Consider the following 17,554-nt stretch of genomic DNA (forward strand, 5'->3'; position numbering starts at 1 on the left):
CGCAGCAGGCCTGCTCCCTCCCTGGGAAAGAGCTACTTCAGGGTAGGGCCACATTGCCAAGGTATCTTGAGATCCATTCATGCCAACTTTCATTTTCATGGAAACTCGTGAACTCGTGCTGGAACATCTTTAACCCCAAATCAGGAATTTACGTCTTTGTTATTAGCAGGGACACTTAAAAAAAAAAAAATACAAAACTTGGCCAGGTGTGGTGGCTCACGCCTGTAATCCCAGCACTTTGGGAGGCTGAGGCGGGAGGATCACCTGAGCTCCGAAGTTCTGGACCAGCCTGACCAACATGGAGAAGCCCAAGTCTTTACTAAAAAATACAAAATTAGCCGGGCGTGGTGGCGCATGCCTGTAATCCCAGCTACTCGGGAGGCTGAGGCAGGAGAATCGCTGGAACCCGGGAGGTTGGCGTGAGCTGAGATCGTGTCACCACATTCCAGCCTGGGCAACAAGAGCGAAACTCCATCTGGAAAAAAAAAAAAAACACAAAACACTTGGCAACTTGATTGAGAATCAACAGATTTAAAATGAGGTATCCCTGCTGTAAATGTGAGAGGCTAGAAAGGATGGAACCCCTAGTTTGGAGATTCAGACTGATGTGAAAAGGTGTGTGCTTCATATTCTGAGACAAAGACCTAGTGAAATAAAACAGCCTTTTTTAAAATTTTTATTTTCAGTACATTAAATTTACTCATAAAAACATTCTAAAAATGTACAATTTGTCCTTTTTAACAAAGTATAATAAAACATAAAAACCCCAAAAACAGAATACTTGACATTTACAATTCAAAATCAAATTAGCGGAATATTAAATATTTACAAAACTATATCTTTTAAAAATATTTATAAAGTTACATGCAATTTTGTAGAATTGACAAAAGAATGGCTCAAAAATGGGAGAATTTTCCTTCATTCCTAAAAAGAAAATATGTCCAATAGAAGCTGTGAAGGTATCGAGTACACAAGGTGTCCAGTTTCAGTACCAAAGCCTTCTCTTTTTGTGCACGTAAGACTCACACATGTGATGAGGGCTTGTTACAACGCACGTGAGGCCGCGGCGGATGGCCACTGCCCCCTTCCTTGGTGAACAGTGGAGCAATGTTAACCTTTGGCCTCAACCAGCACAGTATATGGTTTTCTAGAATATTGCGAGTGTTGAGTGTTGATTAAAGATGCTTTCATTCAGACCCTTGGGACTTTTCAACAAATTCGCCTCTTCAGAACCCATGGCTTTCAGTGCCACCTGACTCATTCTTTGGAAGTCACCTGCATGCTGGAAATGGCAGCCACCCCCGCTCAGGTCGCACAGGACTCTCCTCTGGGACAGCAGTCGAGTCAAGCAGGGAGACGGCTTTCCTCACAACCTTGAAGACCATCAGTCATCATGATGTACAACGAGCAAGGCATAAAATAAAACACTGGGAAGCAGGAAGAGTGACAAGAAAATGACAGGGAGCAAGGAGGGTGCAACCCAGTTCCCATCTGGCAAGTGCCTAAAGCCCCGCTCAGCCTCTGTTCCAGCTGGGTGATGTTTAGGCAAAGTCACTACCCCGCCCCACTACTGTGCCCCAAGACAGAGTCTGTGGTATAAACTAACTGTGCTGACTTTGGGCAATAAAGGACCTAGAATTCTAAGTACTGAATTAAAAATACAGAACCTACTAACACTACTGTATTAACAAGCTGACTCCTGTAATCTTTTGGAGATGACAGATGATACTGGTTTTTAAAATACCCAATCACATATATGCATTCAAGAAAATATTTTGTCTTTATTTTTATTACAAGTGCGCTAGCTCCCATTTCCTCAGTGCTCTTTAGCAATGAGTTTTTATGTTAAACACTTCCAACTGTCAGTATTACCATGAAATCAACATTAGAAAATAAGGTAGAAAACTGAGTGTTTTGCTTAAAAAATAAAAAAGGATTAAATAGCTGTTGTATCCAAACATCACGTTCTGCTTCCATCTCTACATTCCACTTTCCCCATTCTTGGAGATTAAAAAAACAGGGTTAGAAACTTTAATATCTGACAGACTACAAAGGGCAAAGACGTGGCACATGGCCAGTGCCACACCTACCTGGTTGCCACAGCATTCTGAAACAGACCACACTTTCAGGAAAATGACTAAGTACTTGAAAGGGTCAGTATGTTCTGTGTTTTCAGATGAGGAAGTCTGATGACCGCAAAACGCTCTTCAGACGCGCCGACCTTGGTGGCTTTTGGAGAGATGCATCCGAGCTCGCTGCTGGCAAACTCTCAAGTCCAAGTGTGCGGCTCCCTCCGGAAAGAGGCCTCACGGATGGGTGGTTCCATTTTCTCTGCGCTGTGTAGCTCCTACTTACAGCTGACGATTCTCGACTTCGGACGGCCTCCCTGGAGATGTCACACGCCGCCCATGCACGTTCAAGACGACTGGCAGCTCCGCAGAGGCCTTCGCTGCTGGGAACACAGCCGTGACAGTGTCGGAACTCATCTACCTCAACGCTGAATGGCAGGCTCCAAGTTGAAAAGTTTCTGTTTTAATGTTTTGCTGGATTTAAGGTTAACCTCTAATACTTATCAAAATAGTTACGTGGGTAACAACAGACGCTTTCATTCCCCTATACTGACCACTAAAACAAAAATTCCAATGTTTTTTCCTTTTGTTATGAGACGGTTTTCAACAATTTCAGTGTTGAAATAGGATTTATTTAAAATATTTCTTTGCTTAAAAAAACCAAAAAATTTAAAAGTTTGGCTTTCAGCACATATCCAGGCCACTGTAATGGCCTTCAGAAATATTAAAATCGTAAACATCAATGAACACTCTAAGTCTTCCTTAAACGTAATATGAGAAGGTCCAGTCTAGTACTCTTTAAGGCAAAGTTGTGTCAGTTCTCATTATTTTGACATTTTGTAGTGTTTACAATTTAAGAGATCAACGTAACATTCCCCTAAATAGCTGTTGTAATAAGCATCACCATTACTTCAACACTGTAATACTGTGTACCATGAGGAGAAGAGGTCTGTTAATTCTGCATTGCATAGAAATAAAATTCAACTAAAATAAAACTAAAAAATTCTACTAAAAGCCTGTCATAAAAAAAATGTAACAACTTTCTGCTTTAGTTTCTATGAAGTTAGGAACTGCTCTTCAAATTGAACGCTCACATCACAAGGCCTCATTCTAGGGTATTCTTCTGATTTACATCAATTTTTCATGAGGCTGATTGTCCCATTTTAAGAATAGTCTGAATATTATAATTTTTTTTAAAATAAATATCCAACTGCAAAATCCCAACTGCAAGATTTTACCAATCAGTATTTTAACATTGAAGACTTTAGCATTTTCGATAAGAGTATTATTTGAGCAGAAAATTCCCTTTAACCTTGAAGATTTAAGTCCGTAAATTTCAGACAAAAGGCTTTCATTTCCGTGGGTTGAAATTTAGAGATCTACAGTGAGGACTTTTATTACTACCTAACCAAAACCAGACTTGCACAGATCTCGCAGCTCTCGGGTGTGTGGCCTCTTCCAGAGTCCTACCACTTCCCACTGTTTTCCAAGTAATTTTTAACGGAATTAACTATCAATACACAGCCTAATACAAAAGAAGTTGACAGGAGAAAATTCCCAATCTTTTGCTGATAAATGACAGGACTGTATCATTGTTGAAATGTCTGTCTCAGGTGTGAATCCGCTAGCGATAAGCCTCGGGGTTGGAGGTTCTTGGGGAGCCCGTGGGAGATAAAGCAACTTGCAAACTCTGCTGAGGACGTGCAGCATCCTCACAGCCACTCACAGAGCCGCGCTGTCGCCGTCCCCCCTCGAGAGGTCATTTGTAGTGGAAGATAGGGCTCAAAGCCACTGACTGGCTGGGAAGAAAGATACTCTCAAAGCTTTGACGACTATGGATTCTCTGGGACTTGGACCCTTAGAAATTAAGTTGTTGCGAGTAAACTATTTCTATTTAATAACGTAGTTTAGATTTATTTGCAGAAAAAAATTAAAAACCTGAAACTGCTACAAGTGCTTGGAGGAGGGAAGGAAATACTAAAACCTCTGTTGCGTCCTAAGTCGAGTAGCCTCTGCTGGTGCTGACTCTTTCAATATGGATTATTGGAGTCTCTTGCACTGACTGTTCTCAGAGGAGTTTGGCTCCCAGAACCGCAGAGATTTACATCAGGGTACATTCTTCTGTAGTGCAATCCTTAAAAATCCCAGAGATTAGTGCTAATCACTTTAGGAACAGAACAAAACAAAGTCGACATTTTCCCTAGCCCAGGGGTGTCAGGAGTCCGGCGGGTGGAACTCCACTTGGAGAACTCCAAGCTCGGTTCTCGATTCAGACCACGTGTAGCTGCCCTGGAATTGACGTGTGAGCCTAGGAGGGCCAGTGATGGCAATGCTCTTCGGGAGACATGGCGTCTCTGCACTGCAACCAAAAGTGGAGGTGGCCGATCTCACCAGCCACAGAGATGCCCACTAGGCGAGTTCTGACACCAAGCTCCAATCTAGGGTTTTGGCAATAAATCGAGTTTGATGCACTTCTACGCTAGATTTTCTATCCAGTCTAGGAAAAGTAAAGCACCTTTGGATTAAAAAGATTAAGCTCAACAGCAACTAGACTTCTCAGTTTTGTATTTAATTTTCCTTATGTCTCCATGGCTTAATAACGTTCTGTTGCCAGAGAAAAATATCAATCTGTGGAGTCCAGACTTTCTGCTGGAGGGGCGTATTTCAACCTAAAAGTACCTAGAGAGAGGGGAAAAAAGAGGTCAAATTTGAATGACTGTAGAATCACCACCAACCACCAATCTGTCCAGTCATGTCCAGAGCCACTGGGCAAGATTCTGGTGCTGGAAATCTAGGCCACCCATCCTGACCGTTTCTACTCCCTTCCTGCCCCTGCAAAATGGGACCTAATTTTACAAGTTTATCAAATCTGACCGGGGTGAAATGACTCAGGAAAAGTTCACCATCTTTTTCTTTGGGAGCTTCCTCTGGGAGTCAGGCTCTGCACACGTCAGGCGGGCTGCTCTAACATGCGTCCTTTCACTGGGTGAGGGCAGGTGAGCGCTGGTGAGTGCCCCGTGCCTCTGGAGATGCAGCCAGCTTTATGAAGGGAGGCACAGGCCCACCCGGGCCCGCATGGCAGAGCGCCTGTCAACCCACCTTGCCTGCAGGCCTGCTGAGTCAGCAGGCGTGTTTCTAAAAACTCTCCAGGTGAACGTGATGTTACAGGCAGGTCTGAGAATCACAGATCTAGTGCAACCCTTAGAAGCAACTGGAAGTCTGCAGAGATCAAGTGACTTTGGCAAGGTGGCACCATGAGTTGTCAGAGTTGGGACCCACCTTCCCAGTCCCCCGTTTCCAAAACAGACAGCAAGAAGAACCCTATTACAACTACATCAGACATCCACTGGGATTTGACTAAAGGAGACAAAAAAATAGCGGAGATAAAACAGGAGGGAACGGAAGATGCAGCATGGCTGAGGGGTGACAGCCCCCCACACCCACAGCCGCGCCGGCAGGGAGGGGCAGAGGGGACAGCGAGCCCCACCCCAGAGGGTCCGGAATGCCGATGCGCCACAGCCTGAGGGCCCCAGTGTTAAGCCAGGGGGCAGCACTGAATCCCTCACACGTGCCTCTCTGGGCTCGAATCAGGACACGGCAGTCCAGGGAGGCCCTGTCCACACTGGCTAAGCACCTTCTAGAACCAGAGGCTGTCTGAAATCATCATGGCCGTTTTAGACCCAACAGCAGTCCTTCTGGGGACCTCACGGCCTATCATGAAGATTTCCACGCGCTTTCAAAGAGCATTCGAAAAATTATTTGCTTTACAAAGAAAGAAGTTTACTCTTCATAAAAACCAAGCATTTGTGTGCACTGGTCCTGCGGGAGCCTGGTGGGCGCGGCCATGGCGCGCGCTTACCTGGCCGGTTGAAGTCCATGGACGGCTGTTTGCAGTCCTGGGCGCGGTGACCAGTGGCCCCGCAGTTGTAACAAGATAGGTTCCCGCTCTTTTTGTGACTGGAACCATTGCTACTGCCCACCAGTCCTTGGGTCTGGTACACCCCTGCTGTCCCTGCCATGAAGTTCTGCATGGGTGGCACGGCAAACGTGGACTGCCCACTCAGGACAGGGTCTGGGGTCCCGCTGCTGCTGTAAGGGGCGTGCACGACGGGGAAGGTGGAGCCGCCGCCGTACTGCTGGGCGCTGACGTAGCCGCTGCTGCACATGGGACTGAAGGGCAAGAAGGGGAAGGTGAACACGGACGGACCGGAGAACGGGTGCTGGAAGTAGTTGGCGTAGCTGACAGTCAGGCCACTCGAGCCGCAGCTGCCGCTGCAGCCACAGGACGTGCACACAATGCAGCCTGGCGGGGGTGGGGCGGGCTGCGGGGGTGCCGGGGGCTGCTGATGGTGGTGGTGGTGGTGGTGGTTCGGATTCGAGGCAGGAATGTTTCCTGTGGAGCCGCCACCGCCACTGCTGCTATAGAAACTGCTTTCAGGGACGGAGGACAGCGCCGGGCTGGAGCTGGGGGCTGGGCAGCTGGGCAACGTGGCCATGTTGGCAAAGGACGTGGAGGGGTGGCTGCTGGGAGAGGCAGTGTTGCTGTTTGCACAGAAGCCACCCTGCAGGGGGCCCACTGGCATACTGCTCATTGCAGAAAAGGCAACTTTGGTGTTGGCTGTGTACAGAGCAGTCCGGGGGTTTATTATTGCAGGGGGCACACTTATTTGCACATTATTAGGACAGGAAGTTTGCCCAGAAATGGCAGAATCAGCAGGAACAGATGACGACAGCAGCAGTTTGATGGGCGGACGGGCGGCGTGGAGGACTGTGCTGGGCGTCCCCGTGGCGGCCGTGCTGGTCTCCACGACCAGGGCCGGTTGCTGTGCTGTCTTCAGCACCCTGTCCAGCGTGGATGCATGCACGACTTTGGTCCGGGGACCAAAGGAGACTGTGGGTGACATGGAGCTGCTCTCCGAAAGCCCAGAGAGGACCTGCACAGGCTGGTGGGGTGCGGACGCGGGCAGCACGTCCATCATGGCGCTGCCAAAGCTCTTGTCCACTTTCATGCTGCTTCTTGGTCCAGATCCTTTATTCCTTTCTTCTAGAGACAAAAGTGAGTGCACAGAAGACGAGAGGAGCTTCATGTCCGCGCTCCCTCTTTCCGGCTTGTGCACGGAATTCAGCATGCGGATGGGTGTGATGTGTGAGGCTGCGCTCAGCATCTGCGGGGGCAGGGGGTGGTGGCCTGATGGATTGGAGCTGGCCTCATTCTGCACAGGGAGAACCTGGGCCGTGGGTCTGGCGGAACTGGAAGTGAAGTGATTCAGCAGCATCACCGGCTTCTCCTTGTCAGAGCTCTCCAAGTGAATCTCCACACCTAGAGAGGGAAACAAGAGTGGTCAGTGCCATTCCACAGCTGGGCCAGGTCGAGCCAGCGCCGCGCACGTGCCCTTACGTCTGTCATTCTCCTCAGCGCTGTCGGAGCTCTCTTCCCGGGCCTGTACCCCCATGGGGCTGGAGGAGGAGCTGGAGTACTCCGAGGAACTGCCTTCCCGGGGCAGCTGGTGATGGGGCTGCTCCACTTCCACCCGCAGCTCTGCAGAAAAGGGACAGAGGAGCAGCCATCAACTAGCGCCCCTGCAGGCTCAGCCCGCCCCGTGCCCCTGCATCGCACTGTCGGCAGGTGCTCCTTCCAGGGAAACGCAGGGCTCTGAGAGTCAGAAAACGAACACGCCGGCCCAGGCCGCACGGTGACGGATGCAGCAGAGATTCAAATGGCAGCGATGCTCAACACCCGCTCAGCCAGGGCCCTGCCGGCCCCCGCCATCAACCCCAGAACAATGCCCTGTGAAGGGCACCCCCAGCGCACCCCCAGGAACTATCACAACACTACACCGCACCCCATCTCACGAGGCCGGCCGAGTCACGGAGATCTTTTCAGTCAAATCACCACTTAAAATCCATCCTGCCAGGTTTTTTTTTTTCCCTCCTGAGCTACTGCTCCTCCGATTTCTATTGTGAAGAAAACCCGGCTCCTCTTGTGAGACAACGGAGCAAGCGCGCCAGGTGTCCCGCCCTTTCTGAGAGGGGAGGATGAAAACCAAATCGCTGAGACTGAGGGTCCCCCAAAGCAGGAAGGTCCATGGAGAACCATGTCACTGATGGGTCAACATTAAAGGCACTGACTTAAAACGTGGCCTCTGGGCACCAGTCCTGGGGTGGGGGGTGGGCGCAGGCTACTCCCATCTCATTTCTGCTCACCCCCACGCGCTCGCTCTCACTGTGGCAGTTTCTGGACCTGATCATTTTGCCCAAGCAACTTCAGGGAGGTGACTGCCCTCTAGCTCCTAAGCCAACTGTCCCTTCGATTTTCTTATGGCAGAGACTATAATAGTTAATGGAAAATGAGTATAAAGATTTAAAAATGTAAAAATCAAATAGGTGTGATTTGAAATCTAATGATCAAACAGAACACAAGGCCCTCTCTGTGTCTGCGTAACCGACCTGCCCGGCACACCGGCCCTCTCTGTGTACGAGTAACCCACCTGCCCGGCACACGGGCCCTCTCTGTGTACGAGTAACCCACCTGCCCGGCACACGGGCCCTCTCTGTGTACGAGTAACCCACCTGCCCGGCACACCGGCCCTCTCTGTGTACGAGTAACCCACCTGCCCGGCACACGGGCCCTCTCTGTGTACGAGTAACCCATCTGCCCGACACACGGGCCCTCTCTGTGTATGAGTAACCCATCTGCCCGACACACGGGCCCTCTCTGTGTATGAGTAACCCATCTGCCCGACACACCCTTGTTCACCTGCTGCATGGCTGCCCCGCCCCGACTGCACGGGCCCGACGTGGCTGGTGGGGGGCACTCGAGCCACACCACTGCTGGTGACCAGCGGCGGGGCCGAGGGGTTCAGGCACCGTCTCTCTGACTTCTCCCTGTGAAATAATCAAGCACAGGAACAAGTGAGCACTGCCTACTGGTGCTGCCTCACATGCGGCTTCAAGACGGGTCTACTCCACACCACAGGGCGGCTTTGATACAGGGCGACTTCGAGATGGGTCTACTCCACACCACAGGGAAATTCCCCCCAGAGCATTAAGGCAAGGAACTCATTCTGATTGGTCAAATTTACTATAAAGGTCCTTTCCTGTCAAACCTAAGACACATTTGTAGAACTTTAAAAGCATGACTAGGCCAGGCGCGGTGGCTCAGGCCTGTAATCCCAGCACTTTGGGAGGCCCAGGCGGGCAGATCGCCTGAGGTCCAGAGTTTGAGATCAGCTTGGCCAATATGGTAAAACCCGGTCTCTTCTAAAAATACAAAAAATTAGCCAGGCGTGGTGGCGGGTGCCTGTAATCCCAGGTACTTGGGAGACTGAGGCAGGAGAATCGCTTGAACCTGAGAGGCAGAGGTTGCAGTGAGCCGAGATTGCACCACTGCACTCCAGCCTGGGCACGACAGAGCGAGACTCCGTCTCAAAAAATAAATAAATAAAAATAATCCGTCTCAAAAAATAAATAAATAAAAATAAATAAAAGCATGGCTAAGGACTGGATAAGCAACAGGAACTAATCCAATCACTAGTATTTAGCACTGGAAGCCTCAGCACTCCATTCGGCACACGAGAAATGGAAATAAACACAGGTTTCAAAACCCACTTCACACTCACTTTTCCAGCTCCAGCTGGGTCTTGAGCTTCTTCTTTGCCCCCATGGTAAGAGACTCAAATTTATTCAGATCTTCTTCAGTAAGGCTCAAAAACTTTCACAGAAAAAACAAATTACAAAGTTACGGAGACATAAGTAGGACTCTGAGAACAAAGAACTTGGAGTTGAATTCAGTACATTTATTCTGCCTCTGGGATATGCAAACAGATCCAGCTGAACTCAGCAATTACAAGCTGGGAAATCCTAGACCCTTTACTTGCTAAATGACTTGGTGTCAACGGTTCAACTCCGAGACGCAGTTCTGAGCAAGAGTGTCCCCGGCTCCTCCAGGGCACCTTCTGTGCAGGCTGTGTGGATGGGTGCACCACCTCACAGGCTGGCGGCTCTGCCAAAGGTGCCCACTTGCCCTCTGCTCTGTGAGTAAATACCAGCAGGTACATGCTTTGGGGCAGGTGACTAAAGAAAACGTCTTGCATAAGTCACAGTTTGAATCACCGTGGAGATGCAAGTTATGATAGCGTGCCACCCCCACCCTCCCCAGGACGGCCCCATCACAGTGCCATCCCTTCAGAACTCATCACCCTCTGCGGGATGGTCGTCTTTTTCTTCCTTTTTTTGAGACAAAAATCTCGCTCTTATTTTGTTTTTGTTTGTTTGTTTTTTTGTTTTTTGAGACGGAGTTTCACTCTGTCACCTAGGCTGGAGTGCAGTGGTGCGATCTCGGCTCACTGCAACCTCCACCTCCCGGGTTCAAGTAATTCTCTGCCTCAGCCTCCCGAGTAGCTGGGATTACAGGCACCCACCACCATGCCCAGCTAATTTTTGTATTTTTAGTAGAGACGGGGTTTCACCATCTTGGCCAGGCTGGTCTTCAACTCCTGACCTCAGATGATCCACCTGCCTCGGCCTCCCAAAGTGCTGGGATTACAGGCGTGAGCCACCGCACCTGGCCAGGGATGACAGCAACTTTGTCAGGTAGCAAGTGATGCAGAAAAGCAGATGCCATCCACGCTGAATGGTTGTGTGGCTACTCCATTGTGTAGGCTGGTGCTACGCAAACACACCAGCCTCTAATTTTCATGTTATTTCCTAACATGATTTGTGATTTAGGCCATCTCAATGCAAACGTAAGAATAAAACATTTAAAACTAATTATGAACAAGGTTAGTAAAATCTCTGCTTTTTAAGATTCACAAATCCTTGGCCAGGCGCGGTGGCTCATGCCTGTAATCCCAGCACTTTGGGAGACCGAGGTGGGCAGATCATGAGTCAGGAGTTCGAGACTAGCCTGGCCAACATAGGGAAACCCTGATTCTACTAAAAATACAAAATATTAGCCAGGTATGCTGGTGGGCACCTGTAATCCCAGCTATTCAGGAGGCTGAGGCAGGAGAATCGCTTGAACCCGGGAGGCAGAGGTTGCAGGGAGCCGAGACCATACCATTGCACTCCAGCCCAGGTGGCAGTGCAAGACTCTCCATCTCAAAAAAAGAAAAAAACATTCACAAATCCTAAACAAAGGGTATTACAAATATACTTACAATTTGGATTTAACTATGTAGTAAAAGCTTGATTTCTAGGTTCAATTGTAGATTTTTCGAGAAATGAAATTTTTACATAGATAAAAGCCACCAAGCCGGTTTGCCCAGCAGAGGGAGTCCAGAGCTCAAATACCTTGTATGGGTTTAATCTAGTTTTATCACTGACATCAAGACTTAAGAAATTTCTGAATTTTTTTAACAGTGAAAAAATGTTCCTCATAAGAATTCTCTAGGTACGACTGCTTGGAAGATGTAAAATGCACCCATTCCTCTAGATCTGGCCCGCCGCAGTGTCTGCGCCAGCTACGCCGAGAAATGTCTAAAAGGGGCACCGTGCCAGAGCTCAGGATTTCTGTCCACAGCAGGGCTCTGGGGACGGACTGTCCCTCCCGTCACGCAGAGCATCTAGTTTGTGAAGGTCTTGAAGCCCCTAGACAAGCTGTTTGTTTACAACATGTCCTGTTTGTGGCTGGCTGCAGCTGCAGGCGGCCTCCGCAAAGCCCACCGTCTCCCTTAAGAACAGGCGCTGCGCCTCGGCCTCCGTACTTCATCCACCTTGTGTTGGTTTGGAAACTCAATGCCCCCAGGGAGGTCTTGAGTAAACAATCTAGCAATTCTGTACGGCCAGCCAGAAAACCGACATACCTTCTCCATGGAGAGCTGCTTAAAGACGGGGTAATACTTGTGCAAACGCAGTTTCCTAAGCCAGTCTAGAATCCCATTCTGCTCCTGGGTCTGAGGGGTCTGCAGACTGGAAGGCATGAGGATGGCAGGTGATGTGTCCATCTGGGTCCGGTAGGCCAGGGCTGAGCCCGCGCTGCCCGCATGGGAGCAGTGAGGCAAGGGGGCGGCGGAGCCGGCCGGGTGCTGCCCGTGGTGCTGGGCTCCGCTCTGCGAGGACGGGATACCAGCCACTCCACACACAGGCCTGTGGGACAGGGGCAGGAGGGACACAGAGAGACTGTGGCTTCCACAACCACAGACTCCACCACAGACCTCACTTCCAGGCCTTTCTGTGCCAGCCTCTGCCTCTTGGCCGGCCCTGTTGTCACAGGCCACCCTGAACTGCCAACACTGCTGTGCTATGACTGCCCTCCCTCCCCAACCACCTTTCTGCAGCTAAGATTTCTGTAATGCATGTCTGTGCACACGTGTGCATACAGGCGGCTGTGCATATACACACACATGCCTCTGCCCGTGCTTCGGAGTATGCGTCTACTTGTGTGTACGTATGTGTATTATGTATGTGTACGTCTCTGTCCCCACCAGACTTCTGCTTTAGCTGCCAAGTTTCTGTTACTTGTATTTTTTAAAAACATGCTACTCCGATAGGTATTTCTGTTACTTCTAAGTCACAGAATGACACTGATAAATCATACATCAAAATAGACTATTAAATCTTTAATGTTCAAATACAATTTTTCTAGAAAAGTAAAACGCAGAAGGCTGGAAGGTGTGACCGGCACTCCACTCTGGCCTTGCTCCTTAACTGCAAAGTCACACCTGCTGACTGGGCGCTTACCCTACCCCGACACCAGGAGGATGCCAGTCTACGCCTCGAAACCTCGCGCCCAGACAACATCTCCACGAGACTCCCTATGGGGGTGCGTGTGCACTGATCTGTGACAGCCCACCTCACTGTCAGCAAAGATGGGAGCCTCTGTGTTGCCGGCATACGACTGCAGCTACCCAGGGCCCGTGCGGACAGAGGACGCTCCTCAGGAGCACGACCCTATGCTTCTGGGAGCAGGTTTCTCACAGCCAGATTCTCGGAAATTCTGACTTTCTACGTCTATGATGGGGCCCAGGACCTTGCACTGGGGAGGAGTCCCTGGGAATTCTGATTCCAGTGGCTTAGAGAACTCTTTTTTTGGAAATCGTAAATTCAATCATCTCTACTCAATTCTTCTCAATATCATCCAAGACTCAACTTGAGCATGACTTAATTCTTGGAACAACTTTACACAGAACTCAAAGTAAACATTGTAAAATGCTTATCTGAACTGTGCTGGTTACATAGAAGATTTCTCACCTTCCAGACACGCCCATCACGGTACCTACTTTAGAAAGGGAGGGATTGCCAGGACCTATAAATTTAAAAATAAATACCATAAAAATTTACAGACAATGAAAATATTTGTTTTATTTTATTATTTTTTGAGACGGTGTTTTGCTCTTGTTGCCCAGGCTGGAGAGCAATGGTGCGATCTCGGCTCACTGCAACCTCTGCCTCCCGGGTTCAAGTGATTCTCCTGCCTCAGCCTCCCGAGTAGCTGGGACTACAGGCGACTGCCACCACGCCCGGCTAATTTTATATTTTTATTTTATTTTGGAGATGGAGTCTTGCTCTGTCAACCATGCTGGAGTGCAGTGGGGCAATCTCGGCTCACTGCAACCACCGCCTCCCGGGTTCAAGTGATTCTCCTGCCTCAGCCTACTGAGTAGCTGGGATTACAGGAGCCTGCCACCACGCCCGGCTAATTTTGTATTTTTATTTTATTTTGGAGATGGAGACTTGCTCTGTCAACCATGCTGGAGTGCAGTGGTGCAATCTCGGCTCACTGCAACCACCGCCTCCCGGGTTCAAGTGATTCTTCTGCCTCAGCCTCCCAAGTAGCGGGGACTGCAGGCATGCATCACCACGCCTGGCTAATTTTTTTGTATTTTTAGTAGACACGGGGTTTCACCATATTGGCCGGGCTGGTCTTGAACTCCTGACCTCGTGATCCACCCGCCTCAGCCTCCCAAAGTATTGGGATTATAGGCGTGAGCCACTGCGCCCAGCCTAATTTTGTATTTTTAGTAGAGACAGGGTTTTTCCATGTTGGTCAGGCTGGTCTTGAACTCCCAACCTCAGGTGATCCGCCCGCCTCAGCCTCCCAAAGTGCTGGGATTACAAGCATGAGCCACTGCGCCCAGCTGTTTTTTTTTTTTTTAATTTATATTTAACCATATTTTACAAACTCACTTGGACTCTGAAGCTGCTGTGGGGGAGAGGAAGTGCTGAGAAACCTCCTGACATGGTCATTTTTCAACACGTGAGAAGGTAATGAGGCCAGGTACCTAAAAGGCAAACAAGTGGTCTTATCAACATTAAAATGGCATTCCTGCTGACGAATTGAAAGAAAAAAATTTAACTTTTAATCAAGAGAAATGTGTATTAGAGGAAAAAAGCCAGAAGTGCCAGAGCCTCATATTCTTCCTGCTTTAATTCAACTGAGTTCTTGCCCGACTGCCACTGCTTCTTCAAGCCCTTCCTCTCAATGCTGTATTCATGGCCACCAAGGTTGACGACAGCAGTCATGCCCTGTGACATGAGATCAGTGCCACCCACCAGCCAGAAAGGTGCTTGGACACTGGTCCCCAGGGCCCCGGCAGCAGCACATTTACGGAACTGGTCGGCCATGTTACTTCGTGTGCCACGTGAGCCAAGACACGATCGAGGGTCCAGAGAAACTGTTTAAGAGACGCCAATTTTATCTGGGAATAGTCTCAACCTTGGACTACAGGATGGAAACAGCAGCCCAGGATTATTTCACAGGACTGCCAAAGCCCAAGACGTGGTGGGACCCACCCTGGAATTCCCTTCCTCACACACTCAGAACCACTCTCAGCTTACTGAGGGCTCCCGAATCCTCCAGAACTAATGGAAATCCCTAGAGGCCAAGTAGAGACCCAGGTCCAGGTGACCGCGCATCCTCCCAGAGCTCCTTGGAGGACCACAGCATTGACCACAGGACCAGCCTGTCCTTGCCAGCTGTGGACGCGCCGGGTGCCTGGTAAGGGCCTCACCTCAGGCCTGAGTCCAGATCCACGTGGTTTCGCTCCACATAAAATGCGTCCGGACCAGCTAAGCAAGGAATGAGTTTCTCCAAGTTCTCTTCAGGATAGAGCTGACATAGCTGGAAGAGAGGACAAGGTAGAGGAGGTGTGTCCAGACCCATCCAACACCAGCAGAATTCTGCTACTGCAGGAAAACCTGGGGCAGGTGCTCCATGGTGCCGCCTGCTGGTCTGATATGATTTACACCTCCCGTCAGAGCTATTCTGGGGCCCACATCCACTTAGGGTGTAGAAAGTCACAAAAGAACATCGCTCTCACAGTTACATCCGGAAAAGCTTGACAATCTGCACAATCACAATGTTCCTTGAGCCCATCTGAGAGTTGCTGGGCCACTAAGTCAACTTAATTTCAAACGGGACCTGCTCCCATGACAAGCCAGGGCACAAGGCCCTGGTGGCTGCCACACCAGCAGGTCTGGAGAGACAGGTTCCGATGGACACACTGCCACAGGCTGACGTGGCCAACAGAAATGCCGGAGCCCCAGGCGGGGCAAGTGGGCCCTTCTTTCCAAGTTCCTTTCCGCAGGAGGAGCCAGAGAGAGCCCCATCGGTGGCACCTGGGGACCGGGCACCAGGCCTAGTGCAATTCCCGGGACCACTCTCTGGATCTGAGGAAAAGCCCTTAAGACGTTGCAGGAGGGACAAAAATTGCTCCTGGCCCCAGAGCCCAAACCAAAGGCCCGGTTTTTAGGAGTGGGGCAGGGACAATACTTCCCTTCCTCTGCCACCAGTCACAAGAAGACCCGCTGCTCCTGGAAGAAGGGGAAAAGCAAAAGCGCTCTGGTGCTGGAGGAGGTCAGCTCCTGCCGGGGAGGGCAAGGCACTGAGGAAGTGCCACCCCGAAGCCCAGGCACACAGGCCTGCCCAGGATCAGGCTGGGCTGCAAGAGTGAAGGCCCTTGCCCCCACAAGCCCAGCACCAGGTCGCAAACAAGCAGCAGCGGTCTACCCCCGAAAAGGGGCCGAGAGGGTAGAGAGTGCCCTGCTGTGTGCCACAGGCCTGCAGGGACGGCTGAAAGCTGGGAGTGAAGCAAAACGGCGGAGAAGACCCTCCAGACTCAGGCAGCAGCTGCCTTCACTGGAGAGGCCCTGAGGGTAACAGAGGCAGCAAGAGAGCCCAGTGCCAGCTTCATCCTGCCCAGATGGCCTCCAGGACCCCACTAAGGGCCCTGGCAGAAGAGGTGTTGACCCTTTCCAGGCATAAATCTCGCTCTCCTCCGGCTCCACGGTCATCTAAACATGTCTGACATTCAGTCAACATTTGCAAGACATACCAAAAAAAAAAGGAATAAAGGGGGAAAAAACTATTGTCAAGAGATAAAGCAATCATTAGAACCAGATTCAGAAATAACTCAGATGTGGGACCTAGTGACAGGGACTTTAAACAGCTATGATGGATGTACTAAAGGACCTAGTGAAAACGACAATATGCACAAACAAGCGGGAACTTTCATGAACACGTTTCAGCAGAGAGATGGAAACTTCATGAACACGTCAAATGGAAAACCTAGGGGCAAAAACACAAAAGAAACCCCTGGCAGCAGAAATGAGGACTTGAGTACATGGACAGGCTCCACAGCAGCCTGGGCAGAACTGAGGGGATCGGCTGGTGTGGAAACGGGCACAGGAACCACCCAGACGTACACACAGAGAAATGCACAAGCATGGGAGAGCCGTGGGGCGGCAGCACCAGGGGTCTGAGGCTCGTGCCGCCAGAGTCCAGGAGAGGGGAGGATGCGGCAGAAGAAATGCTTGAGGAGAAAATGGATAAGAATTTTCCAAAATTAGGCCAGGTGCAGTGGCTCACACCTGTAACACCAGTACTCTGGGAGGCCGAGGAGGACAGATCACCTGAGGTCAGGAGTTCAAGAGCAGCCTGGCCAACATGGTGAAACTGTCTCTACTAAAAATTAAAAAAAAAAAAAAGAGAGAGAGCTGGGCGTGGTGGTGTGCACCTGTGATCCCAGCAACTTGGGAGACTAAGGCAGGAGAATTGCTTGAAGCCGGGAGGTGGAGGTTGCAGTGAGCCAAGATCATACCACTGCACTCCAGTCTGGACAACAGAGTGAGACTCCATCTCAAAGAAAAAAAAAACAAAACAAAACACTGAGACAAAAGCCCAATGAGAGGTCGAAGTTCCAGCCGGCAGGAGTGGAGTCCAGGGAAGCTGTGTTTAACAAAAGGGGAAACTACACACAGAGGCGAGGAGATTTAGTATTTTAAACACTACAGAGGGAAAAGCAGATTCCCGGGGGGGGGTGTGTGTTACCCTCGAAGGCGTGGCACTGTCGTGTTCTTCAATGCCCAAGAGGCCAAAAAGATAAGTGTAATCAGACATCGTCCTCACTCCATGTTCTCCTGCAGGATGAGGCCTTGGCTTTATAATGAAAAGTAAGGCTCTCTTTGGAGACATTTACATATGTTATCCCATTCACAAAGCTGACTGCCTGAGAGGCATCACTTTGGCTGAGACAGTCGTTCACGCT

The 17,554-nt window shown here is 49.9% G+C and overlaps 1 protein-coding gene across 4 annotated transcripts in view, besides 2 other annotated features; it reads right to left on the reverse strand.

Annotated features, from left to right (window-relative positions):
• Positions 661-17,554, reverse strand: part of ZCCHC14 (zinc finger CCHC-type containing 14) — an 86,777-nt gene continuing 69,883 nt past the window's right edge. For 2 of the 4 annotated variants that reach the window (XM_005255858.4, XM_017023082.3), the window contains exons 5-12: positions 15,020-15,129; positions 14,196-14,290; positions 13,260-13,314; positions 11,873-12,155; positions 9,689-9,780; positions 8,827-8,954; positions 7,468-7,608; positions 5,828-7,389 (exon numbers count right to left, since the gene is read on the reverse strand). In XM_005255858.4, the coding sequence (XP_005255915.3) occupies positions 5,834-7,389; positions 7,468-7,608; positions 8,827-8,954; positions 9,689-9,780; positions 11,873-12,155; positions 13,260-13,314; positions 14,196-14,290; positions 15,020-15,129 (2,460 nt within the window). In that variant the 3' untranslated portion in view covers positions 5,828-5,833. Of the gene's footprint in view, positions 4,749-5,827; positions 7,390-7,467; positions 7,609-8,826; positions 8,955-9,688; positions 9,781-11,872; positions 12,156-13,259; positions 13,315-14,195; positions 14,291-15,019; positions 15,130-17,554 lie in introns of those variants that run through there. The other 2 variants (XR_243401.4, NM_015144.3) reach the window with 2 other exon arrangements.
• Positions 1,595-2,794: an enhancer, noted in NCBI's record as "CDK7 strongly-dependent group 2 enhancer chr16:87440788-87441987 (GRCh37/hg19 assembly coordinates)". NCBI's record gives its function as "activates an origin of replication core promoter dependent on BRD2, BRD4, P300/CBP, MED14 and CDK7 cofactors, with strong dependence on CDK7, by STARR-seq in HCT116 cells {active_cell/tissue: HCT116}" and the evidence as "EXISTENCE:reporter gene assay evidence [ECO:0000049][PMID:35650434]".
• Positions 2,115-2,554: an enhancer, noted in NCBI's record as "active region_11323". NCBI's record gives its function as "activates an Ori minimal core promoter by ATAC-STARR-seq in GM12878 lymphoblastoid cells {active_cell/tissue: GM12878}" and the evidence as "EXISTENCE:reporter gene assay evidence [ECO:0000049][PMID:35858748]".

The sequence above is a fragment of the Homo sapiens genome, chromosome 16, assembly GCF_000001405.40.
Source record: "Homo sapiens chromosome 16, GRCh38.p14 Primary Assembly".
Classification (NCBI taxonomy): Eukaryota; Metazoa; Chordata; class Mammalia; order Primates; family Hominidae; genus Homo; species Homo sapiens.